We start from the raw sequence: 27,183 nt of genomic DNA on the forward strand, positions 1-27,183 counted from the left end.
AGCAGCGTAGTAGACTGCCAGTTTCCCTGAACAAGTTAATTGAGACCACAAGGACACAAAAATACACAGGCAGTATGTGAGATATTCATCAAGACAACAACTGATCTGGATTCTTCTCAAGACAATGTCATGGGTAAAAAAAGCAAGAGAATTCTTCTACATTACAGGAGACGTGCTTGAATCCTGGACTTTTAAAAAAGCTATAAAAGACATTTTGGGACCATTGAGGAATTTTTAGTGTGGAATGGTTATAAATGATATTTAGGAATTATGAATGTCTTCGATGGTCATAATATTCTCCTATTATGGCTATATGGGAGAATGTCCTCATGTTTTAAAGATGAATGCTGAAGAATTTAAAAAAGAAAATAATGTCTGCAACTTACTTTCAAATGATTTAGAAAAATCATGTAAATAGGGCAACAAGTGAAAATACCCCAAATTCTTCTGACTCTGAAGGTCCACAAAACATACTTGAAAAACCACTGGGCTAGGCAATGAACAATCTGGATTCCCCAAATGAGTACTTATGATGGTGACTGGGTGGAGGTCCTGGAAACCTGAAATCTATCCATTTGTGTATGTCTCTCCCAGTGCCTCAACACCTGCAGTTCCTTAAGGCAGCTTCATGAATGAACTTGTTCCCACTGGTTCTTTTTCTGACATGTGAAAGCTTTTATAATCTCAGATCCTGTCTCTTTATCTCATAATAAAGAAAGCTCCCCTCAGCATCTATGTCAACACAGACAAAGGGTTCAATCTGCCAAAATGCCTCAGCAAAGTCTGGCTCTTGACTACAACTGGGGTGTGGGATGAGGTGGCTTTTTCCTCTGATTTCACAACCTCTAAAGGAAATGGATTTTTATTGTTTCTTTTTCTTCTGTAAGCTAAAGGAACTAGGGCTCTAGAGTGGCTTCTACCACTAAGTTCCATCCTTCAACACCAACTGACTCAAGAAAAAACAGTGCAATAAGAGACCACAAACAACTTCCTGAAACACGAAAATAAAATGCATATATTTTCACCTGAATATTTAGAACAATAGGACTTAGCATTAGAAGACTGGGTTCAAATCCTGATTCTGCTTTTAACAAGTAGTGGACGGGTTATGGACAACTAATATCCTAAGCCTCAGTTATTTCACCTGAAAATTGGGGTGCTAATGATAATAAATGCTATGGAAATAAGATGAATAATAGCCATGGAAATAAGATGAGTTAATGGCTATGAACGTGCTTTGTAATATGAAAATGCTATAAAATGATCCTAGCTAGTCTAGTTAACTGAATTAATAAATGAATAATCTGAAGGCCAACAAGGACATGACTTGATTGACATTACAAAGCAAATTTATTTATCTGTTCAATACATTCTCTCCTGGGTTAGGACTTACACTAAAATATGGAGGTTAACTAGACTGTCCTCTTACTACATGTAGATGTATTTGTAGAGATCCATATAGATACATAAGAAATACAGCTGTCTCGCCAAATTTACTGAGTCATCCCAGCACCATACTAAGAGTTTGGGTATATTACTTCACTGAAGCTTATGACTGTCCTATGAGAAAAGTCCTATTATTATCCCCATCATATGAATAAGAACAGTGAGGATACAAAAGGAGAGATTATAAATGCCTGAAAAATATCAGTGAGAATGTAGGAGAAGAAATGGACTTTAGATTGAGCAGGTTGAATACACAGAACATAGAAAACCAATGGGATATAAGGATTAAGGAAAAAAGAGATGACAAGAAACCATGTTGCTATAATTGAGCAAATATTAATGCTATACAGAGGGAAGAACAGGTTGGTGGGGAAAATTTCCATTCATTTAACCAATATTAACTGAGCACTTAATATGTGTCTGACAATATTATAAGCTCTAGGGATATAGCAATAAAAAATATTGGTAAGAGTTCCTATTTTCCTGAACTTATATTCTGGGAACAGGGGAATATGTTCAAGAATTGTTATGTTCTTGATTTTTTGAGGCGCTCATTGAACATTTGGGTGAAGATGTCCAGGAAATACCAGGAAATAGTTGGAGAAATGGGTTTAATTCTCAAAAGAGTTGTTTAAATGAGAGATGAACTTGGGAAATCTTCAGTGTATAAATGGTGATTGAATTTATGAACATGAATGAGGTCACTCAGGCACAGAATATAGTTCCAGAAGAACAGCAGGCTAAAGGTGAAGCCCTTGCAATGCCAATATTTAAGAAGAAGAGTCCAAGAAAGAGATGAAGCAGGAACAGTTAGACAGGTAAAAGGAATGGCAGAAGAGAATGATATGATAAAAACCAAGGAAAGAGAAAGTTATAAGAAGGAATGGTTAGTAGTTTCAAATGCTGTTAAGAGATCAATATGTATAATGAACAACTGAATGTGGCACCCAGAGGGTCCCTATGATTATGGCAAAGGCAGCTTCAGGAGAGAAGTTGGGGCAGGAGGCCAATGTAGTATGTGGAGGGGTGTCTAGAAGAAAAGTCTGTAAAAGCCTCAATTAAAGTGAACTTTTCTGTTGAGAACTTAACCTGCCAGCATGGGCAACATAGCGATACATCATCTTTACAAAAAATAAAAAATTAGCCAGGCATGGTGACACGCACCTGTGTTCCAGCTACTCTGGAGGCCAAGGCAGTAGGATTGTTTGAGCTCCGGAGTTTAATGCTAAAGTGAGCTGTGATCGGGCTACTGCACTCCAGCCTAGGTGACAGAGAAAGACCCTATCTCAAACAAACAAACAAACAAAAACAACAACAACAACAAAAAACTTTATCTGGAGAGAAATATTAATATAAGCAACAGGAGACCAAGAGTGAGGTATTGGCTTTTAAAATAGAGGAACAATGTCAGCGTGTTTGACTGCTTGTGAGAAAGGGTCAGTAACAGAGAAGCTGGAAGAGAAAAGAGAAGGAAAAATGGGTGAGGCCACTGTAGAGACAAAGAGGAGGGATCCAGAACACCCTCCTCCTGACCCTGGACGCAGGGAAGGTGGGATGTAGAAGAGAAAAAATGAGTGAAAGGGAAAGACTCCAAGTTGAGGAAGTTGTTGCTGATGGCTTCTGCAAGGAGGAGGTAATTTTACCTATATTTTCTCACTTTCTTTTATGACAGTTTTTTGAGACAGGAACTCAAAAAATAGTTTTTTGAGAAACTATTAGTGTCCTCACTTCATTAATGAGGAAACTGAGGTTCAAAGAGGTTAAATGACCTGCCCTTGGAAATTTGCAGGGTCAGAATTCAAACCCAGACATTTCACTCAAGTCCCCTAGTCTTTCTTAATGATCACTAGAGAGAGAAATTTAAGGAAAAGAAACATCAATGCCTTCAAACCCAAGAAACCTTCAGAATGATGGTAACCACTGAGAGAAAAGAATAAAATGGACAGGAAAACAGGATAGAGCAAAGGCTGTAGGTACAATAATCGTAATAAAAATGGGTATTTATCTATAGCGTTATCTCTTTTTTCTCCCTATAACAAATAGTTAAACAATATAAACTATGTAAAGGGGCATGAGAAAATAGAAACTGCAAGGCTCGCTTCTAAGGAAATGATTGTTTTGTAAATATATCGTAAGAATTGATCATTAAAACAACATTTTGTAATTATATTAGTTTATGGCAGACAAGAATAATTTATTCAACAAATATTTATTGAGTATCTACTATGTGCCAGATAGTGCTCTAAACCCTGGACATATAATAGTGAATAAATCAGACAAGAGCTCTACTTTTTTGGAGTCTACGTTCTAATGAGAAGACAGGCAGGAAAATAGCAGATTAATCAGCAAATAGCTCAAGTAAAACCAGATGAGGAGTGCTACTTTAGAATGGGTAGTGGAGTGAAATTCTGAAGACATGACATTTGAGTTGAGACCTCATGAACAAGAATCAGTTATATGGAAATCTGAAGCAACACACTTAGGCTGAGGGAACAGTGAATGTCAAGGTTCTGGAGTAGGAGCCACCTTGGCATGTTCAATGAACAGCAAAAAAAAAAGCGTGATGAGCACAGGGAGGACAGTGGCAGGAGATGAGGCTAGAGACATGGGCAAAAACCAGACATGTAGAGCAGCAGTTCTCAGTCCTCGCTGCTCACCAGAATCCCCAGAGGAGCTTTAAAAATATGGATGACTGGGTCCCCACTCCCAGAGAAACTGATTTAATTGGTCTGAGGTGGGGCTCAGGCATAGATCTTTTGAAAAATGCCCTGGGGATTCTGATGGATATCCAAGGTTGAGACTAATATTGAGACTTCTAGCACTTTGGGAGGTCATGGCAGGCACATCACTTGAGGCCAGGAGTTCGAGACCAGTCTGGCCAACATGGTGGAACCCTATCTCTACTAAAAATATAAAAATTAGCCAGGCATGATGGGGCGCACCTGCAATCCCAGCTATTCAGGAGGCTGAGGAATGAAAATTGCTTGAACCGGGGAGGTGGAGGTTGCAGTGAGCTGAGATTCTGCCACTGCACTCCAGCCTGGGCAACAGAGCGAGACTCTGTCTCAAAAAAAAAAAAAAAAAAAAAAAAAAAAGAAATACCTGAAAAAAAAGAAAGAAAAATAAATACCTGAGACTGGGTAACTGGGTACTTTATACAGAAAAGAGGTATATATACACACAAATATACACATATATATATTTCAGAAAATTTTTTAAAAAGAAGAGACTTCCAGATATTCTGTAGTAAAGAGAATATAGGTGAAAGACTGTGTGTGGAAGCAGAGAATTAATGTAAGTTGAACCTGGTAAACAGAAGAATCATTTCAAATAACATTCCCCCACAGAGAAATTTGAGCAATCTTAATTGCCAGACCTCCTGAGAACATAAAAGCTTTACCTGCCAAGAAAACTTGGCTCAAGAAACACCAACTAATAAAATGTAAGACTTTCTATCTTCCAAGCTAACTAACATGTATTGAATTGGTAATATGTACCAGATATTGTATACTAAGCAATTCACTAGATGGTCTAGTATCTTCATAACAATTTCATCTTATCTGTGAGTAAGACCCAATTTAGAGATGACAGTACTCATCTTGGAGAGATTTAGTGTCTTATGTAATGCCACACAACTATTAAGTAGCAGAGGTGCGTCTCTCTGATTCGAAGTCTATGATCATTGCTGCTGTAAGACCTAGTTTGCTGAGGTTACAAAATGGCCAGTCTAATATTTAAACTACTGCTCTCTAGGAAAGTGCTCTTGGGTTCTGTTATGAAAAACTACCACCAGCCGGCCATGGAGGCACATGTCCTTAGTCCCAGACACTCAGGAGGCCGGTGTGAGAGGATCACCTGAGCTCTGGAGGTTGAGGCTGCAGTGAACCACAATGGCACCATTACACTCCAGCCTGGGCAATAGTGTGAAAAACTGTCTCAGAGAAAAAATGATTTCCCAGAGATTGGCAAAGAAAAAAAGGAGGAAAGAAACAAAGTTGAAAGAAAGAAAGAAAGAAAGAGAAAGAAAGAAACTTCCAGAAATAAAATCAATCTAGAACACTGTGGTAAAACAACTGTGGTAGTTATTACCCAGCTATCCACCCCTGTATTAGTCCATTCTCTTATTGTTATAAAGAAATACCTGAAAAAAAAGAAAGAAAAATAAATATCTGAGACTGGGTAACTGGGTAATTTATACAGAAAAGAGGTTTAATTGGCTCATGGTTCTGCAGGCTGTACAGGAAGCATAGCAGCTTCTGCTGCCTGGGGGACCTCAGGAAACTTACAATCATGACAGAAGGCAAAGGGGCAGCCAGCACTTCACATAGCCGGAGCAGGAGGAAGAGAGATGGGAGAAGGTGCTACATACTTTACACACTTTTAAATAACCAGATCTCATGATAACTCACTGGCTATCAGCACCCATGATCCAATCTGCCCCCATGATCCAATCACCTCCCACCAGGCCCCATTTCCAACACTGAGAATTATAATTCAACATGAGATTTGGTGGGGACACAGATCCAAAGCATATCAACCCCCCAGATAGTACTACAATTTCCACTTGGGCCTTGTGACAAGCTCTGGCCAATGAATTATGAGCTGGAATGATGTATACCATGTCTAGGCTGGAGCACATAATTGCTTCCTTTCCCACACTTATGATGGGCGATCCTTCAGATAATGGTTGTTCTATCAGCCAGGTCACAGAAGATCTCTCAGCCAACCCATGCTGAACAAGTAGTGAGAGCAAAAGATTGTGATGTTATAGACCACGGAGATTTGGGGGATTCTTTATTATGTAGCATAGCGTAGTTCATCCTGACTGATACAAACTGCATCCTTCCTCTCTGAGTTTGTCTAGAGATGACAAATTACCAGCTCTACTTATGCATCACACATGCCCAAAAGTGTGTGTGTGTGTTGTGTATGTGCTTTATTTTGTTGCTAATAAATCTATTAAAAGTGGAAAACTCTAAGTCCATCAGCAGAAAACATTCCTGTAGATATTTCTTCAGTACAAAGGATGTCAGTTGTTCAATCTGACAAGGTAATTAATGAATGAGAAACTCCAGAATAGCCACATCCAGACCACAAATACCTCCCTTGGAGAAAGATGCATATGTGGGCCAAGCAAGGGCAAAAGGAAGGTCCCTAAAGAAGAGCCCACACATGTTGATGTTGCTCTGGGAGAAATATATTAATTTATTTAACAAATAAAAAAGCTACTATGTTCCAGGCATTGTCCAAAGTGCAAAAAATAGAATAGTGAACAGAACAGACAAAAATCTCCCTTTTTATAGAGTTTATATTCCAATGGCGTGAGGGAAGATAATGACATGGCTCTAAAAACATTTAATTGTTCCAGTATAGACTTTCCCCATTTCTCATGATCTGTTCATCCAGCTGAATAAATAAGAAATGTGACAAGCCCATCACCCCCCACTTACTGACAGGGTAAAGTCTGAAGCAATATATGGGGTAATCCAACCTACACCATCTGGGGCCCTGAAATGCAGATCATTAATTTGGATTAAACCCTTAAATACTGGTTTCTGATTTCCATTCATAGGAAACAACAGCTCTTTCTTCTTCTGGCTGCACCTGGGGTTCTGCCCACTGGCCTAGAGGAAGAAATGGAATTCATGTTTTGATCACCACATCTGGCATCTGAATCCCTTCATCTTCTTGAAAACCTCTGAAGATCTGAGTACTGTTTAAGAGCAGACTCCCTAAGGCAATTATCCTCTCAGGCCAGAAGTCTCAGGAGGTAGAGGTTGGAGTCTATGGTAGCACCATCTTTGACTCACTGGTCTGTCTGCATAGAAAATACTGCAACTCATGTTTAGCTATTGTCTAATGTATGTGCCATCAGCTCCTAAGGGGACAAAGACAGAGTGACAGCCCCTTCCTGTGACGGTTACTATGGGACTGAACGAAGGAGGACGAATGCAGAAATGAAGACAAAGACAAAAGATCTGTTTTAAAAGAAGGGGTGGGGGGCTCCTTGTTTCTAGTGAGCAAGGGCCCTGAGCTTCTACAGCCCTTTGTATTTATTACGTAGAATCAACAGGGAGGAAAGGTAATGGTTGGTCAGCTGCTTGATTTATCACAGGTTCACCTAATTGCTTTTTTTATACTACAGGCTTCAGATATTCCTATAGATAACCACAAGGAACACTGCGCTTGGGGCGTGACTGCCTCAGCATTCCTTCTGGCAGCAGATGCAGTTTGCCAGTTTGCCAACTCCCGCTTTCATGAGAACAGTTTGCTATTTGCTCATATAGCCTCCAGTGGTATACTGAGTTGGTCATGACCCTCATTCTTTTGGCCTCCAACACTTTCCCATTTCCTTTATTCCAATAACTGTGTGCTGTTATGTATCTGTACCTTGTGTACCTCTAAACTCTTCACTGAGTGTGATACAAAGTACATTAATTAGTAAATATTTGAGTAGTAAATAATCCTGGGTTTCAACCAAATATAGATTGATCCAGACACATAATGTTAAGTCACAAAGGAGGGAGGTCTGTTCAGCTTCCTGTCTTGCCTCACGGCTCCTTTCTGGTACTGTGCACTGTGGGCCAACAATGTTAGTTACTAGTCTAAGACTATACAAGGCCTAATGTGGTTAGTCATTCTTATATTAGTAAAGCTCAACAGCAAATAATGGTTGATTTACTGATTGTCAAATACTATTTCTCACTAAAGGAAACCAGAACTCTTTAGCGAAATGGCTGACTTCAGAACTGTGACAGGAAATGTACAAGATGAACCTGGGACATCTTATTTGTGCCAGAAAATAAGAAAGCTTCCAAAGACAACTGAGTCATGTCAAAAAAGGGACACAGAAACCAGCCTGAAGGGGCTCCCTCCTGAGTCACTTTGGGACAAAAATTTGAGCATTAAAAAAAATGACTACATATGTATGCATATGTATATAAATATATATAATTGCATATTTATGAGTTCACAATCATACTTTAAAAACTCATTAGTCACCACTGCAAGTTGGTAGGGTACCAACCTGTTATGCTGAAAGTTGGTAATAATAATAAAGACAAAGAATCAAGCATGAAAATAAGGCTTGGTCCTAGGCAATTTACTTAACCTCTCAGAGCTTGTTTCCTCATTTATAAAATAATAGTACTGGTAGTGCCTAGTTCACAGGATTTTTGTGAGGATTAGATAAAATAATAACACATGAGATCCCAGCAATTACAATGTACTATATGCATGTAAAGAATACCTGCAATTATTATGTGGACAGTTTTCAAGTGAAACAGATCTCTGATGATTTATAGGCACCTGGTTTTGGATTGATGTGATTATAAGACCTTGAGGAGTAATTCAACATTCTCAGCCTCTTGTTCAAGGAGCTTACCTAAGGGGTATATTCTCTATTCTGTATGATTTGCCATTTTCCCTTTGAAATCCATACTGGGCTATAATTACTTTAGTTCCTCACTTGCCAGGGATGGAGTATGCTCCCTAAAGGCCCAGCTGATGATCAAGCTGCATGTTCATATGGTCCCTGGTGCTTATTATAACTGGAAGAAAACTTAGTCCTTCCAAAAGAATCATTAAAGGGCTGGTGGCAATCCAATGGTGACTTGTTACCTTGCCTTCCTCATTTAAGCAAGTGAGTCCCACAGGAAGCCTGTATAACCAAGAAAGCAAGCATGAAATACTTCCTGCTCCTTGTAGAAGGGAGACTCCAGCTCTTGCAATCCATTTGCAGCATTCAAAAACTTCAGAGATGCTCAAAGAGCCAAATGGATCCCAAATGAAAGGGTCGAATGACTTCAGCCCCAAATACTAGATAAAAGCAACTGAGAAGTTGAATTCAGGAGAAAGTTGTCCAGGAATTAGTGATTGTTTTTTTTCATGACATCTTAAAGAAGATGGGGCACTGCCTCACATCCCCAGCTCCTTGAGCAGAACATGATATAAAATCAGCATTAACCTAGTGAGGCAGATAGCTAGGATTGTATGCCCAGCAGTCAGTTTCTTGGAAAAGCCAATCCTCTCAACTGTATGGCCAGCATGACAGCTCCCATGCTATTTCTTGACCCCATCCTCATCCTGGCTTCTGTGGATTGGTCCTGTGGTTGGCACTTAACCCTATCCAAAGCTCTTCTCCAGAATTTCTCAAAGTATAAATAAAATAGCCAATCTCTGGAGTGGCAGCCTGCTTAGGATGAAAAATATAAGAATTGACAAAGTCCCATGTTTACCTCCATGTAGAGAAAGCCAATTTTAGGAAAAAGAAATGCAATCAACCCATACAGACAAACAGACAAGAAATGGAAAGACAGACTCCTGATGATGTTTGAGTCCCTCATTTTTCTAAGGTCCAGCTGTACCTTGTTCTTCATATGGTTTGACTGATCAATACATTCTTGATTCAGCAAGCCAATAAATTCCCTCCCAATTCTCCACAAGTTATATTGATTGGAATTCTGTCACTACAACCAAAAAGGTCCTGACCAATACAGTATTGGTTCCTTGCACTTTCACGTTGGGATAGAAACAGAATTCAGTAGCCAACTGACCTTTCTATGGATCATCGCCCAACTCTGCTCTGCCTCTGGAATCTTCATTTACTACACATGCTCCAGATCATTGCCAGAGTGACCATCCTAAAATATCTCTTCTTTTTTTTTGAGACGGGTTCTTACTCTGTCACCCAGGCTGAGTGCACTGGTATGATCATGGCTTACTACAGCCTCAGCCTCCTGGGCTCAAGCAATCCTCCCACCTTGGCCTCCTAAGTAGCTGGGACTACAGACTCATACCGCCACATCTGGCTAATTTTTTGTAGAGATGGGGCCTCCCTATGTTGCTCAGGCTGGTCTCAAACTCCCAGACACAAGCAATCCTCCTGCTTCGGCCTCCCAAAGCACTGCGATTACAGCCATCAGCCACTGTGCCCAGCCTAAAATACCTCTTCTTTATAAAACATTTCCTTGCTTCCACATCTCTTTCCTCACCACCATCAATGTATAATCCACTACTCCCTTCATAAACCTATTCACATGTTTATCATAATACATACAACACTTTAGTGTGCTAACTTCTTTACATATCTCTCCCCAGCCAGAATGGAAAACGGCCCAGGACAGGCAACACATCTTATTTATCTGTGATGCCCCAGTTACTAGTGCATGGCCTGAAATACTGTAGGTTTCTAGTAATTATTTATTCTTCTGGCCTGTCTGTATGTGGAGTTAGTATGGTCTTTATCAGGTCTACCTCAACTTTCTGAAGAGGATATCAATCCAAACCTCACCTCAGCAGAGCATTTGGATTTAACAGCTGTGTTCCAGATACTTCTCTGCTCCTAAACCTTCATAGAATTTGCTTTAATCAAATTGCCTGGTTTTCAAATGCTATTGGCTCACATACAGAAATAAACTAAAAAGAAATTCGCTGGTAAATTTAGTGTAGAAATGATAGTGAAGACGATGTACACCATAAGACACAGGAGAAACATTTCCCACTGCTGTCAATATTAGGAAAAGGTGAGATTTTTTTCTAGGCCACTAGTCTACATGTTTGTCTTGAGGACACCACACATATCTGATTATGTTTCCTTCTTTTGGCTGGATGGGAGAAAGCTCTAGCCAAATTTCTGGCATGCTTCCAGTGAATGGATAGGTCTTTGTGGCATTTATTTTGTGTACTTTCTCACACTGGGTGTTATTCTTATTTCCTACTCCATTTTTTATTTGCCTGCATCATTTCTATCTCTTTTTTATTAAATAAAATTACTTTTATTCCATCCCTCAGTAACTACAATTACTAATTGATGGTAAGGTGTCCACCTGTAGGTTACACAGCAACTTCTCAAATCTTGGACTCAGATCGGACAAGGCCACCATCATTTCCTCTTCCACATTGATTCTCATGGAGTATTTTTTTTTAAAAAGAGATTTAATCCATTCTTTATTATATTTTCCTGAATACAACTTTAATAATAATTTTTAAATTTTAGAATAGTTTTAGATTTACAGAAAAGTTGCAAAGACAATACAGACAGTTCCCGTATACCTCTCGCCCAGTTTTCCCCATTGTTGACATCTTACATTAATTACCACGGCACATTTATCACAACTAAGACACCAACATTGGTACGTTACTATTAACAAAACTCCACACTCTCCTCAGATTTCACTAGCTTTTACCTAATGTCCTTTTTCTGTTCTGGGATCCCATCCAGGAAACCACATTACATTTAGTCATATGTCCTGACTTCATTTCTGAAAATTTCTTAGACATTCCTTGTTTCTGATGACCTTGACAATTTTGAGGAGTGCTGATTGGGCATTTGTAGAATGTCCTTCGATTTGGATGTGTCTGATAATTTTTTCATGGTTAGACTGGGATCGCTCATGTTTGAGAAGAAGATCACAGAGATGAAGTGATAATCTCATCACATTATATCAAGGGCGCATGCTATTAACTTATCACTGACACTTATGCTGTGTTAAAACCTTGATTGCTAGGCTGAGGTCCTGTGTCCCAAGTTTCTCCACTGTAAAGTTATTTTCTCCCCTGCCTTTTCATACGTCACTCTTTAAAAGCATGTTACTAAGCATAGTCCGCTCTCAGGAGTCGAGAAGTTAAGTTATACCTCCTTCAGAGGCTACCTACATAAATTATTAAGAATCATTCATTTATTGATTAAATCATTTATTTAGATCAGAATGGACTTATTTCATTTTTCCTCAGCAAGTTTTTGTTTGTTTGCTTCTTTGTTTTTGTTTTTTTTTTGAGACGGAGAGTCTTGCTCTTTCGCCAGGCTGGAGTGCAGTGGTGCGATCTCAGCTCACTGCAACCTCCAACTCCCTGGTTCAAGCAATTCTCCTGCCCCTGCCTCCTGAGTAGCTGGGATTACAGGCACATGCCACCATGCCCAGCTAATTTTTGTATATTTAGTAGAGACGGGGTTTCACCATGTTGGCCAGAATGGTCTCAATCTTCTGACCTTGTGATCCACCCACCTCAGCTTCCCAAAGTGCTGGGATTACAGGCGTGAGCCACCGCACCCAGCCTCCTCAGCAACTTTTTAAGGACTGAGTGGAATAATACTTGGAGATATTGACTGAAGCACTTCAAACTGTCTTCTTTGTCGTTTAAATTTTTTATTTTATTTCAATCATTTGGGGTACATAGTAGGTGTACCAAAACGTGTTCTTGAAACACTTACCAGCATCAATTGAAAATAAGGTTTACAGCAAGTGGCTCATGCCTGTAATCCCAGCATTTTGGGAGGCCGAAGCAGGCAGATCACTTGAGGTCAGGAGTTCAAGACCAGCCTGACCAACATGGTGAAACCTCATCTCTACTAAAAATACAAAACTTTGCCTGGCATGGTGGCAGGTGCCTGTAATTCCAGCTACTCTGGAGACTGAGGCAGGAGAATCTCTTGAATCCAGGAGGTGGAGGTTGCAGAGTCGAGGTCATGCTACTGCACTCCACCCTGGGCGAAAGAGCAAGACTTCTCAAAACAACAACCACAACAATAAACAAACAAACAAAAAAAAGAAAAGAAAAGAAGGTTTCCAATTGAAAAGCCAGGATTGTTATAAAACATTATGTGTCTTTGTGGGGGGTGTGTGTGTGTGTCTGTGTGTGTGTCCAGAAGCTTGACTATGAATATCAAGAACCAAAGGCTCTGAATAATGCAGGGAATAGGATGAGGGAAGATGGCTGGAATATATAAAAACACTTATTCTGCCCCAAAGAAGATAAAGGTTAAATGGGGTGGGGGGAGGTGATTGAATGAGCTAAAACTAGAGCTTATTTCAGGGTGATTGCCTACAAAGAAACTCTATGCCTACATATCCCAGGGCTAGATGCCACTTCCCCCACCCCAAACACACATACAATGCCAACCTGCAGCCGCCACAGTAAAAAGTAAATGAGAATGTGAAGAGAAGACCTAAGACATTCCTGCCACTCCAGTGTGACTCAGGAGCCCATCTGAACGTGTGCCAAAAGGGGTGCAGAATTGGCTGAAAGGAGGTTGGAGGACTAGGGCTACACTGCAGTTAAGAATATTAAGAGGGCCACTTGACCATGGTGACCGCAGAGCAAAGAATCATGGAACTCCTTCGCTGTGGACACAGCAGGAAGATGCAGGGATCAAAGATCAGCGAGGATTGCACAGCTCAGTGGAAGATACCATGGATGGATGTTGGTGACTATGGACCAGATTCTGTTCCCTGATTCTAGGACAACACACCAGCCCTCTGAAATATACACGATTCTCACAGAGATAAGAAGAAGAAGAGGAAGAATCAGAAAGCTGACAGAGTTTAAACTTTGAACTGACCAAATTTAAATACTAAAGTGATGGAGTCTCTCCAGCAGTGGCTGCATCAAGTGTTCTGATCTTAAGCAAAATGGGAATAGAAGAATAAAAGTTACAGTATTGCTACAGAGAGATAAAATTGTATTTTTCACATATCTGAGTATGTAACTGTATATTTCATGACCATAGAAATAATTTATAATTTTTTCTGATTATAAAAAAAAGCAGTAATGTATGCCCATGGTAGAAAACATGTACAATTTTAGAAAATATAAGAAATAAAATGAAAGTCACCCATAATTCAACTATGTATACATATCATTGTTAATATTTTAGTGTATTTTCCTCCATGTTTTTAAAATTTCATCTGTGTATTGTTTTATATAATTGGAATCATATTGCATCAGGGCAAGGGCAACATTATTGCATGAAAACTTAGGGAGGCCTAATGTCACAGCAATACATAAAACATAGGGATAGGTATTACAGCATGTCAAGAATTTCTGTTTATGATAAGAAGAAAGACTTGGCAGTGGTGTGCTGGAGCTGGCTCTGACCAGTTCACATGAGCCAGTTGTGTGCCTCTCTTCCCAGCTCTGTGTTCAGTGACATCACACAGATAGGTATGAATCAGCCACAAAATCAGCCATAATGGGAATATTTACAGCATGGAAATTGACAAATAACATAAATCAGGGTTTTTTTTTTTTTTTTTTTTTTGCCAGAGGGCCAATTGTTAAACATTTACGAACACACCATTTCCCTTAAGTGCTCACATGTCCTCCACTATCACTTTATCCCTAAGTCTCGCTGTAATGCATCTCTGTGTGTCCCTGATCTTAGTATAGTCTTCACATGGCTTGTTCCCTGATTCTGTGATAAAACAAAATGAAAGTCACTTTAGCCCTGAGTTGTTATTGTCATCCATTGTAAAACTGCGTCGGGTCCAGTCTAGCTCAAGAGTATACGTGAAATTTTATATACTGATTTTCCTAACCTATTAAGTTTAATTTCGTTAGGTTTCACCTTGTGTGTTTTGTGACAATAGACTAGAAATAAAATAATAATCAATTGTGGCTGTTGCTGCTACTACTTAAATGCTTTAAACTGTCAATGTCTCCCCATTAACCACAAAATAAAGTCAAAACTTCTTGGCTTGGCTTGTGAGGTCTTCCATAGCCTGTCTTTTCAACTTCATTGTCCACCATTCCCCAACACAGAACTTAATTCCAGAGATGTGTCAATTTACCATCCCTGACTGAGCCTGCTCATTAGTAAGTACCTTCTTGTCTTTATTTATATGGTGGTCCCTTTCTAAGATGCCTAATAGCTCTCCTTTCCACCTACTCATAGTCTTGCCATCCTCTAAAGGCAATTAAGATTTCACCGGCTCCAAGAAGCCCTCAACTAGCTCATCCTGCAGTGAGCTCCACTGTTTCAGAGGCCCTATAAGGGGGTGGAAATACAAAGGAGGAGATGGCACAACTATCACTGGTCAAGCCTGTGCCAGTTGCCAGGTGCTGTGCCAGACACTGGACTTATTCCATGTAACTTCATCACAGCCATCCTCATGAGGTGGCTCAGTTTTTTCTCTGAGACCCAATGTGACTTGCCTAGAATCACAGAACTAGTGAGCAGGACTCAAGACCAGGTCAGTCTGATTCCAAAAGCCATGTGTTTTTTTTCTAGTGAAATATTATTTCCATCAGAACCAATAGATCCCCAGCCCTGTAAGGCCCTTCACTGCTGTGGCCTTGTCATTTGTGCCCCTGCCCTTCCTGCTGGACTGGGCACTCCTCAGGGTCAGGGATGGTGATGTGCCTGTGCCTCTTTGTGTCCCCTCTCATTGGGCACACACACACATATATATATATGAAACCATAACTCTATACCCTTATTTTATACATGAATACATATATAATAATAAGTATGACTATATACACATGGGGGCATTAGGTGTGGATGGGTATATAAATGCTTAAACACACCAGAAGGACTAATGGGAAATAGTTCAAAATAGAATAACTATTTCCTAAAATCTGGTTGGAATTACAATTTTATTTTATTTACAAAGTTATGGTTTTTCTAACTTTTCTATAATAAGTATATACAGCTTTAAAAATCAGAAGACAAAAGAAAAGAGGACAAGAAAGAGTCAAGGCCCTGTCCTCTAAGGGTTTAGAATCTACAAAGAGAGGGTTTACATAAATTAATACAATACACCACAAGTTGTTTTATTATTATTATTATTATTATTATTATTACTTTATTGCCATAGGTTATTGGGAAACAGGTGGTGTTTGGTTATGTAAGTAAGTTCTTTAGTGGTGGTTTGTGAGATCACCATGCACCCTATTTGTAGTCTTTTATCCTCACCTCCTTCCCACCCTTTGCCCCTGAGTCCCCAAAGTCCATTGTGTTATTCTTATGCCTTTGCATCCTTACAGTTTAGCTCCCACTTATCAGTGAGAACATACAATGTTTGGTTTTCCATTCCTGAGTTACTTCACTTAGAATAATATTCTCCTATCTCATCCAGGTTGCTGCAAATGCCATTAATTCAAACCTTTTTATGGCTGAGTAGTATTCCATCATATATGTATATATAATCACATTTTCCTTGTCCACTCATTGATTGATGAGCATGTGGGTTGGTTCCACATTTTTGCAATTGCGAATTGTGCTGCTATAAACACTTGTGTGAAAGTATCTTTTTCGAATAATGACTTGTTTTCCTCTGGGTAGATACCCAGTAGGGGGACTGCTGGATCAAATGGTAGTTCTCCTTTTAGTTCTTTAAGGAATCTCCACACTGTTTTCCATAGTGGCTGTACTAGTTTACATTCCCGCCAGCAGTGTAGAAGTATTCCCTGCATCCACACCAATACCTACTATTTTTTGATTTTTTGATTATGGCCATTCTTGCAGGAGTAAGGTGGTATCACATTGTGGTTTTGATTTGCATTCCCCTGATCATTAGTGATGTTGAGCATTTTTTCATATGTTTCTTGGCCATTTGGTATATCTTCTTTTGAGAATTGTCTATGCATGTCCTTAGCCCACTTTTTGATGGGATAGTTTTTTTCTTGCTCATTTGTCTGAGTTCTTTGGAGATTCTGGATATTTGACCTTTGTCAGGTGTATAGATTGTGAAAATTTTCTCCTACTCTGTGGGTTGTCTGTTTAGTCTGCTGGCTTCTCCTTTTGCCATGCAAAAGCTCTTTAGTTTAATTAAGTCCCAGCTATTTATCTTTGTTTTTATTGCATTTGCTTTTGGGTTCTTGATCATGAAATCCTTGCCTAACCCAATGTCTAGAAGGGTTTTTCCAATGTTATCTTCTAGAATTTTTATAGTTTCAGATCTTAGATTTAACTTCTTAAACCATCTTGAGTTGATTTTGGTATAAGGTGATAGATGAGGATCTAGTTTCATTCCCCTACATGTGGCTAGCCAATTATTCCAGCACCTGGGGATAAGGGTGTCCTTTCCCCACTTTATGTTTTTGTTTGCTTTGTTGAAGATCAATTGGCTGTAAGTATTTGAGTTTATTTTTTGGGTTCTCTATTCTGTTCCATTGGTCTATGTGCCTATTTTCATACCAGTACCATGCTGTTTTGGGGACTATGGCCTTATATTATAGTTTTAAATCATGTAATGTAATGCCTCCAGATTTGTTCTTTTTGCTTAGTCTTGCTGTGGCAGTGTGGGCTCTTTTTTGATTTCATATGAAATTTAGAAATTTTTTCTAAATTTGTGAAGAAGGATGGTGGTATTTTGATGGAAATTGTATTGAATTTGTAGATTACTTTTGGTAGTATAGTCATTTTCACAATCTTGATTATACCCACCCATGAGCATGAGATGTGTTTCTATTTGTTTGTGTCACCTATGATTTCTTTCAGCTGTTTTGTAGTTTTCCTTGTGGAGGTCTTTCACCTCCTTGGTTAGGTATATTCCTAGGTATTTTATTTTATTTTATTGCACTCATTGTAAAAGGGGTTGAGTTCTTGATTTGATTCTCAGCTTGGTCACTGTTGGTGTATAGAAGAGCTACTGATTTGTGTACATTAATTTTGTATCTGGAAACTTTGCTGAATTCTTTCATCAGTTCTAGGAACTCTCTGGAGGAGTCTAGGGTTTTCTAGGTAAATGATCATATCATCAGCAAACAGTGACAGTTTGACTTCTTTAATGACTTGGATGCCCTTTATTTCTTTCTCTTGTCTGATTGCTCTGGCTAGGACTTCCAGTACTATGTTGAAAAAAATTGGTGAGAGTGGGCATACTTGTCTTGTTCCAGTTCTCAGAGGGAATGCTTTAAACTTTTCCTCATTCAGTATTATGTTGGCTGTGGGTTTGTCATAGATAGCTTTTATTACATTGAGATATGTCCCTTGTATGCCGATTTTGCTGAGAGTTTTAATCATAAAGAGATGCTGGATTTTGTCAAATGCTTTTTCTGTATCTATTGAGATGATCATGTGGTTTTTGTTTTAAATTCTGTTTGTGTGGTGTATCACATTTATTGACTTGGTTATGTTAAACCACCCTGGGTACAAAACCCACTTGATCATGGTGGATTATCTTTTTGATATGTTGTTGGATTTGGTTAGCTAGTATTTTGTTAAGGATTTTAGCATCTATGTTCATCAGAGATATTGGTCTGTGGTTTTCTTTTTTGGTTACATCCTTTCCTGATTTTTTTATTAGGGTGATACTGGCTTCATAGAATGATTTAGGGAAGGTTCCCTCTTTCTCTATCTTGTGGAATAGTGTCAATAGGATTGGTATCAATTCTTCTTTGAATGTCTGGTAGAATTCTGCTGTGAACCCATCTGGTCCTGGACTTTTTTGTTGTTGTTGAATTACCATTTCAGTCTTGCTGCTTGTTAATCGGTCTGTTCAGGGTATGTAATTCTTCCTGATTTAAGCTGGGAGGATTGTATCTTTCCAGAAATTTATCCATCTCTTCTAAGTTTTCTACTTTATGCATGTAAAGTTGTTCTTAGTAGACTTGAATAGTCTTTTGTATTTCTGTGGTGTCAGTTTTAATATCTCCTGTTTCATTTATTATTGAGTTTATTTGGATTTTCTCTATTCTTTTCTTGGTTAATCTTGCTAATGATCTATCGATTTTATTTATCTTTTCAAAGAACCAGCTTTTTGTTTCATTTATCTTTTTTGTTTGTTTGTTTGTTTTAATGTCATTTCGTTTTGCTCTGATCTTGGTTATTTCCTTTCTTCTGTTGGGTTTGGGTTTGGTTTGTTCTTGTTTCTCTAGTTCCTTGAGGTGTGAACTTAGGTTGTTTGTGCTCTTTCAGACTTTTTGACATAGGTGTTTAGGGCTATGAACTTTCCTCTTGCAACTGTCTTTACTGTATCCCAGAGGTTTTGATAGGTTATGTCACTATTTTTGTTCAGTTCAAAGAATTTTTTAATTTCCATCTTGATTTCATTTTTGACCCAATGATCATTCAGGAGCAGGCTGTTTAATTGCCATGTATTTGCATGGTTTTGAAGGTTCCTTTTAGAGTTGATTTCCAGTTTTATTCCACTGTGGTCCGAGGAAGTGATTGATATAATTTCAATTTTCTTAAATTTATTGAGGCTTATTTTGTGGCTTACCATATGGTGTATCTTGGAGAAGGTTCCTTGCACTCTTGAATACAATATATATTCTCTGGTTTTTGGATGGAATGTTTTGTATATATCTGTTAAGTCCATTTGTTCCAGGATATAGTTTAAATACATTGCTTCTGTTTTTCTTTTTTTTTTTTTTTTGAGATGGAGTCTTGCTTTGTCACCAGGCTAGAGTGCAGCGGTGTGGTCTTGGCTCACTGCAAGCTCTGCCTCCTGGGTTCAAGCGATTCTCCTGCCTCAGCCTCCCGAGTAGCTGGGACTACAGGTGTGCACCACAACACCTGGCTAATTTTTGTATTTTTAGTAGAGATGGGGTTTCACCATGTTGGCCAGGATGGTCTTGATATCCTGGCCTCATGATCCACCCTCCTTGGCATCCCAAAGGGCTGGGATTACAGGTGTGAGCCACCGCACCTGGCCTACATTGTTTCTTTGTTGACTTTCTGTCTTGATGACCTGTCTAGTGCTGTCAGTGGAGTACTGAAGCCCCCCACTATTACTGTGTTTCTGTCTATCTCATTTCTTAAGTTTATTAGTAATTGTTTTATAAATTTGGGAGCTCCAGTGTTAGGTGCACATATGTTTAGGATTGTGATATTTTCTGGTTGGACAAGGCCTTTTTTAATTATATAATGACCCTCTTAGCTTTTTTAACTGCTGTTGCTTTAAAGTTTGTTCCGTCTGATATAAGAATAGCTATTACTGCTCACTTTTGGTGTCCATTTGCATGAAATGTCTTTTTTCCACTCCTTTACTTTAAGATTATATGAGTACTTATGTGCTAGCTGAGTCTCTTGAAGGCAGCAGATAGTTGGGTGGTGAATTCTTATCCATTCTGCAATTCTGTATCTTTTAAGTGGAGCATTTAGTCCATTTACATCCAATGTTAGTATTGAGATGTGATGTACCACTCCATTCACTGTGCTATTTGTTGCCTGTATACCTAGGTTTTTTTGTTTTTGCTTTTTAAATTGTATTCTTTGTTTTATAGGTCCTGTGAGATTTATGCTTTAAAGAGCTTCTGTTTTGATGTGTTTCCAGGATTTGTTTCAAGATTTAGAGCTCCTTTTAGCGGTTCTTGTAGTGGTTTCTTGATAGTGGTGAATTCTCTCAGCATTTGTTTGTCTGAAAAAGACTGTATCTTTCCTTCACATGTGAAGCTTAGTTTCACTGGATACAAAATTCTTGACTGATAATTGTTTTGTTTGAGGAGGCTGAAGATAGGGCCCCAAACCCTTCTAGCTTGTAGGGTTTCTGCTGAGAAATCTGCTGTTAATATGATAGCTTTTCCTTTATAGGTTACCTGGTGCTTCTGTACCACAGCTCTTAAGATTCTTTCCTTCATCTTAACTTTAGATAACCTGACAACAATGTGCCTGGGAGATGATCTTTTTATGATGAATTTTCCAGGTGTTCTTTTTGCTTCTTTTATTTGGATGTCTAGGTCTCTAGCAAGGCCAGAGAAGTTTTCCTCGATTATTCCCCCAAATATGTTTTTCAAACTTTAGATTTCTCTTCTTCCTCAGGAACACCTATTATTCTTAGGTTTGGTCATTTAAAATAATCCCAGACTTCTTGAAAGCTTTGTTCATATTTTCTTTTTCTTTTTTCTTTGTCTTTGTTTTATTGGGTTAATTCAAAGACCTTGTCTTTGATCTCTGAATTTCCTTCTTCTACTTCTTTGATTCTATGGCTAAGACTTTCCAGAGTGTTTTGCATTTCTATAAGTGTGTCTATTGTTTCCTGAAGTTTTGATTGTTTTTTGTTTATGCTATTTCATTGAATATTTCTCCCTTCACTTCCTGTATCATTATTTTGATTTCCTTACATTGGGCTTCACCTTTCTTTGGTGCCTCCTGATTAACTTAATAACTAACCTCCTGAATCTTTTTCAAGTAAATCAAAGATTTCTTCTTGGTTTGGATTCATTACTGGTGAGCTAGTGTGATTTTTTAGGGGGTGTTAAAGAACCTTGCTTTGTCGTATTACCAGAGTTGTTTTTTGGTTCCTTCTCATTTGCGTAGACTCTGTCAGAGGGAAGGTCTAGGGCTGAAGGCTGCTCAGAACTATTGTCCCTAAGTGTGTTCCCCTTCATGTAGTACCATCCTCCTCTTCCTAGGGATGTGGCTTCCTGAGAGCCGAGCTGTGGTATTTTTATCTCTTCTGGATCTAGCCACCCAGCATGTCTACCAGGCTCCAGGATGGTACTTGGGATGTCTGCAGAGTCCTGTGATGTGAACTGTCTGTGGCTCTCTCAGCTGTGGATACCAGCATAGTATTTGGGGTGTCTCCTGGGTCCTGCAGGAGCAATCTGCTTCCTTCAGAGGGTCTGTGGGTCCTCTCCATTTTCCTGATTTATTCCTGCAGTCATTCTGGAGCAAAAATTTATTATGTGAGCCTCCGCATGCTGCTCTGTACATCCTAGTCGGAGCTGCAATCTAGTTCTGCCTCCTGTCTGCCATGATCCATCAGAAACTCATTTACCCTTGGCTGGGCTGCTGTCTCCTCCTTTCAGCACTGGATGCCACAGTCTCAAGGCTTCTTGGGCTCTAGGAGGAGGCACAGCCAGAAGGCAAGGTCACCCTAAAGTCACCTCACACTGCTGCCCCCTCACTGCCTCACTGCCTCACTGCCTCCAGCATCCAGGAAGAATGCAGGCAGGTGGCACCTGGTCCTCTTCCTTTTCCTCACAAATTGTTATTTTTTTTTTTTTTTTTTTTTTTTGAGACGGAGTCTCGCTCTGTCGCCCAGGCTGGAGTGCAGTGGCGGGATCTCGGCTCACTGCAAGCTCCGCCTCCCGGGTTCACGCCATTCTCCTGCCTCAGCCTCCCAAGTAGCTGGGACTACAGGCGCCCGCCACTACGCCCGGCTAATTTTTTGTATTTTTAGTAGAGACGGGGTTTCACCGTTTTTAGCCGGGATGGTCTCGATCTCCTGACCTCGTGATCCGCCCGCCTCGGCCTCCCAAAGTGCTGGGATTACAGGCGTGAGCCACCGCGCCCGGCCTACAAATTGTTATTTTTTTAAACAACATAATCATAAATGTGCGTAGTGCTGAGAAAACATAGAAGAAGGATAAGTTATGATTTTAATAACTTCTCAATTTGTTTGTCAAAGTAGGGAAAAATCACATGTGGTCAGAAAAGTGGTGCAGAGTCATGGGGCAGTAAGATCTTCATGGGCCTTACAAACCAAAAAGTATCTGAGACAGGTCTCCATCAATTTAGAAGTTTATTTTGCCAAGGTTAAGGCCGATGCCCAGGAGAAAAAAAGCACAGAATCACAGAAACAGTTTGTGTTCTGTACGTTTCTCCAAAGATAATTTTGAGGGCTTCAATATTTGAAGGGGAAAAACAGTCACATTACTAAATCCACATGTTGCAATAGAAAAGGTGCAGGTATGGGAATAGTCAATTACGTATTCATCTCATGTTTAGTAAACTGGCACTTTACATAAGATAAAGTCAACACAGATTAGCTAACTAGGGGAGATATTTCACCTTTTATCTGTATCTCTCTGCTTAGGAATAAAAGGAAAGGCAGCTTCCTGCATGATTCAGCTTTCAGCTTATTTTTTTTCCTTTTGGCATAGTGAACTGGGGTCCTAAGTTTTTATATTCCTTTCACTTCTGTTCCCCCTTTTTCTTTTTAAAATTTTTCAGAGAAAGAATTTTAGAGAAAAATGAGTCTCTGGTCTTAGGTTTTGTCGGATCTCTTGTGACCAGGATGGTTTATTCCCAGATAAATAGGTCCCACATTGTTAGAAACTATTATTTTAGCAGGTTGTGAAGCCTCATGTTCTATGAAGAAAAAAATAGGATGAGAAAGAGAGAAAGAAAACAACAAATAAACAAAAAAGGAAGAACAATCCTGGAAAACCGACATAGGCCATATTATTCTGAAGTCCATATATCAGTAGATAGAGATGAAAATAATTTTTGTATACAAATAGGTTGCCATTATTTTCTCCTAAAGTTTAAGTTGTCTAGCTTCAGTTCACAGGGTGTAAACCAAAAATAAAATTCTAAGTCCCCTCAATAAATTGAATGGACCCTTCTTCTTAGCCAAGAGCATTACAAAGTTAATCTTAAAAACTAGTTCAGGCCATAATGGGAAGTGGGGGTGACACATGTCTCATACTCTCCACCCTTTGGAATTCAGGCACAACTGACCAGCACTGCTATTAAAACAGAGATCTTAAGACTGACAAAACAGACTTTTTGTAGAAATAAGACACGAAATTCCAGCCTGACTCTAATATAGCATTACATGACAGATATCAGGTCTATAAGTTTTAAAAGGCTCATCCAGAAAACACATGTAAGAGCTAACCACTCTGCATTTTGAATCCTCTGAGAGGTGACAAATCCAAGTGTTTTACCCTAAAATATATTTATTTGATATATTTTTAAACGGCCCTGCAAAGCTGTCTCTTGTGGGGGAAAAAAATCTACATTCTGTAGATAATCCTCATTCCTTTCAAGGTTTTTTTTTGTTTTTGTTTTTTTTTCCTGATCCAGGAGAGAATTAACTAAGAGTCTACCACCTTTTTAAGTCTGATAAGAAACATTTACAATCTATTCTCTCTGAAGTCTGCTACCTGGAGGCTTCATCTGCATAATAAAACGTTGGTTTCCACAACCCCTTATCTTTTTATTGAGACAGCTGTCTTGCTCTGTCACCCAGTCTGAAGTGCAGTGGTGCAATCTGGGCTCACTGCAACCTCTGCCTCCCGGGTTCAAGTGATTCTCATGCCTCAGCCTCCTGACTGGCTGGGATTACAGGCATGTGCCACCATGCCTGGCTAATTTTTGTATTTTTAGTAGACATGGGTTTTGCCATGTTGGCCAGGCTGGTCTCCAACTCCTGGCCTCAAGTGATCTGCCCACCTCAGCCTCCCAAAGTCCTGGGATTACAGGCATGAGCCACGGTGCCTGGTCTCACAACCCTTTATCTTAACGCAGACATTTCTATTGATTCTAAATCTTTACACAATAACTTAAATCTTTCAACTGCCAATCAGAAAATCTTTGAATCTACCTATGACCTGGAAACCCCTGCTTGCAGTTGTTCTGCCTTTCTGGACAAAACCGATGTACATCTTACATGTATTGATTGATGTCTTATGTCTTCCTGAAATGTATAAAACCATGTGTGGCCTGACCACCTTGGACACATGTTCTCAGGCTCTTCTGAGGGCTGTATCATGGGCAATTGGTCATTCATATTTGGCTCAGAATAAATCTCTTCATATGTTTTACAGAGTATGACTCTATTTGTCAATAACTTGGCACCCAAACATGTGGGCCCTCTGAGAAGACTCAGAACATGAAGGAGTTGCCTGAACTCAGAGCTAGGTTGATGGTTCTTGATTTATTCTAAGGTGGGTTTTTTTTCTCCTAGGATGTTATTTAGGATCCTAATGCTAGTTCAGAGGTGCATTATAAAGAGTCCTCTCCATTTTCCTTTTCTAAAGACAAGAAGAACAACCCCCTTTCAAGTACCCCATTTGGTTTCTAGTATGGGAGTGCATTCTAAAGTGTCTTCTCCATTGTTTTTTCCCCAATATGAAGCTCAACTGGTTTGTCTGCATATTTGCATGAGAAACTGAATTGCCCTTTTCATAGATAAAATGGGAGACTAAGCTCCTTAGCTCTGAAGAGAAAGGGCATTTTGTTTCTCCCAGCTGAAAGGTGCCCCTGGGTGACCAGAGGCCAAGTGAGAGTGCCTGTGGGGTTTACCCTCTGTGACATGCAGTGGCCCTAGAGGGAACCCCCCAACAAAATTAGTTTTAAAGGGCTCATCCAGGAAACATATATAAGAGCTGACCACTGCGCATTCTGAGCCCTCTGAGAGGTGAAAAATCAACAGAGAGAGAAACTGAAACATGTAAGAGGGTGGAAATGATTCAGTGGTGAACGACTGTAGAGTCCTGCCCACAATCAGCACACATCAGTCCACCACACTAAACCCTAGGCTACATCTTAGTTCCTCCTTTTAATATAAAAAAAGAAAAAAAGAAAGAAAATAGAAAGGCAGGAAACAAATTATTTAAGAATTATTAAGAACAAAGGATAAGGAGAATGGGGCATGGCAAAATGGTTGAATAGAAACAGCTCCAGTCTGCAGCTCCCAGCGAGATGAACACAGAAGGCGAGTGATTTCTGCATTTCCAGCTGAGGTACCTGGCTCATCTCACTGGGACTGGTTAGATAGTGGGCGCAGCCCGCAGAGGGCAAGCAGAAGCAGGGTGGGGTGTTACCTCACCCAGGAAGCACAAGGGGTCAAGGAACTCCCTCCCCTAGCCAAGGGAAGCCATGAGGGACTGTGCCACGAGGAACGGTGCATTCCAGCCCAAATACTATGCTTTTCCCACGGTCTTCACTACCTGCAGACCAAGAGATTCCCTCCGGTGCCTATGACACCAGGGTCCTAGGTTTCAAGCACAAAACTGGGCGGCCGTTTGGGCAGACACCGAGCTAACTATAGGAATTCCTTTTCATACCCCAGTGGCACCTGGAAAGCCAATGAGACAGAACCGTTCACCCCCCTGGAAAGGGGGCTGAGGCCAGGGAGGCAAGTGGTCTAGCTCAGTGGATCCCACCACCATGGAGCCCAGCAAGCTAAGATCCACTGGCTTGAAATTGTCGTTGCCAGCACAGCAGTCTGAAGTCAACCTGGGATGCTCCAGCTTGATGGGGAAAAAGGCTTCCGCCATTACTGAGGCTTGAGTAGGCGGTTTTCCCCTCACAGCATAAACAAAGCCACGGGGAAGTTCGAACTGAGCAGAGGCCACCGCATCTTGGCAAAACCACTGTAGCCAGACTGCTTCTCTAGATTCCTCCTCTCTGGGTAGGGCATCTCTGAAAGAAAGGCAGCAGCCCCAGTCAGGGGCTTAGGGATAAAAGTCCCATCTACCTGGGACAGAGCACCTGGGGGAAGGGGCGTCTGTGGGCGCAGCTTCAGCAGACTTAAACATTACTGCCTGCAGCTCTGAAGAGAGCAGCAGATCTCCCAGCACAGCATTTGAGCAATGCTAAGGGACAGACTGCCTCCTCAAGTGGGTCCCTGACCCCTGTGCCTCCTGGCTGGGAGACACTTCCCAGCAGGGGTTGACAGATGTCTCATACAGGAGAGATCCGGCTGGTATCTGTCAGGTTCCCCTCTGGGAAGAAGCTTCCAGAGGAAGGAACAGGCAGCAAACTTTGCTGTTCTGCAGCCTTTCGTGGTGATATCCAGGCAAACAGGGTCTGGAGTGGACCTCCAGCAAACTTCAGCAGACCTGCAGCAGAGGGGCCTGATTGTTAGAAGGAAAACTAACAAACAGAAAGGAATAACGTTGACATCAACAAAAAGGACATCCACACCAAAACCCCATCCGAAGGTCACCAAAATCAAAGACCAAAGGTAGATAAATCCATGAAGATGAAGAGAAATCAGCACAAAGAGGCTGAAAATTGCAAAAACCAGAAAGCCTCTTCTCCTCCAAAGGATCACAACTCCTAGCCAGCAAGGAAACAAAACTGGACAGAGAATGAGTTTGACGAATTGACAGAAGTAGGTTTCAGAAGGTAAGTAATAACACATGCCTCTGAGCTAAAGGAGCATGTTCTAACCCAATGCAAGGAAGCTAAGAACCTTGATAAAGATTGTAGGAACTGCTAACTAGAATAACCAATTTAGAGAAGAACATAAATGACCTGACAGAGCTGAAAAACATAGCACGAGAACTTAGTGAAGCATACACAAGTTTCAATAGATGAATTGATCAAGCAGA

The 27,183-nt window shown here is 40.1% G+C and overlaps 2 annotated features.

The window, feature by feature from the left end:
- Positions 1,350-1,550: a silencer, noted in NCBI's record as "peak1554 fragment used in MPRA reporter construct". NCBI's record gives its function as "represses an SCP1 promoter by STARR-seq MPRAs in K562 erythroleukemia cells {active_cell/tissue: K562}" and the evidence as "EXISTENCE:reporter gene assay evidence [ECO:0000049][PMID:32103011]".
- Positions 23,743-24,298: an enhancer, noted in NCBI's record as "NANOG hESC enhancer chr12:7434099-7434654 (GRCh37/hg19 assembly coordinates)". NCBI's record gives its function as "activates a minimal SCP1, AML or CMV promoter by ChIP-STARR-seq in naive H9 embryonic stem cells {active_cell/tissue: H9 hESC(naive)}" and the evidence as "EXISTENCE:reporter gene assay evidence [ECO:0000049][PMID:30033119]".

This window comes from Homo sapiens, chromosome 12, assembly GCF_000001405.40.
Source record: "Homo sapiens chromosome 12, GRCh38.p14 Primary Assembly".
NCBI lineage: Eukaryota > Metazoa > Chordata > Mammalia > Primates > Hominidae > Homo > Homo sapiens.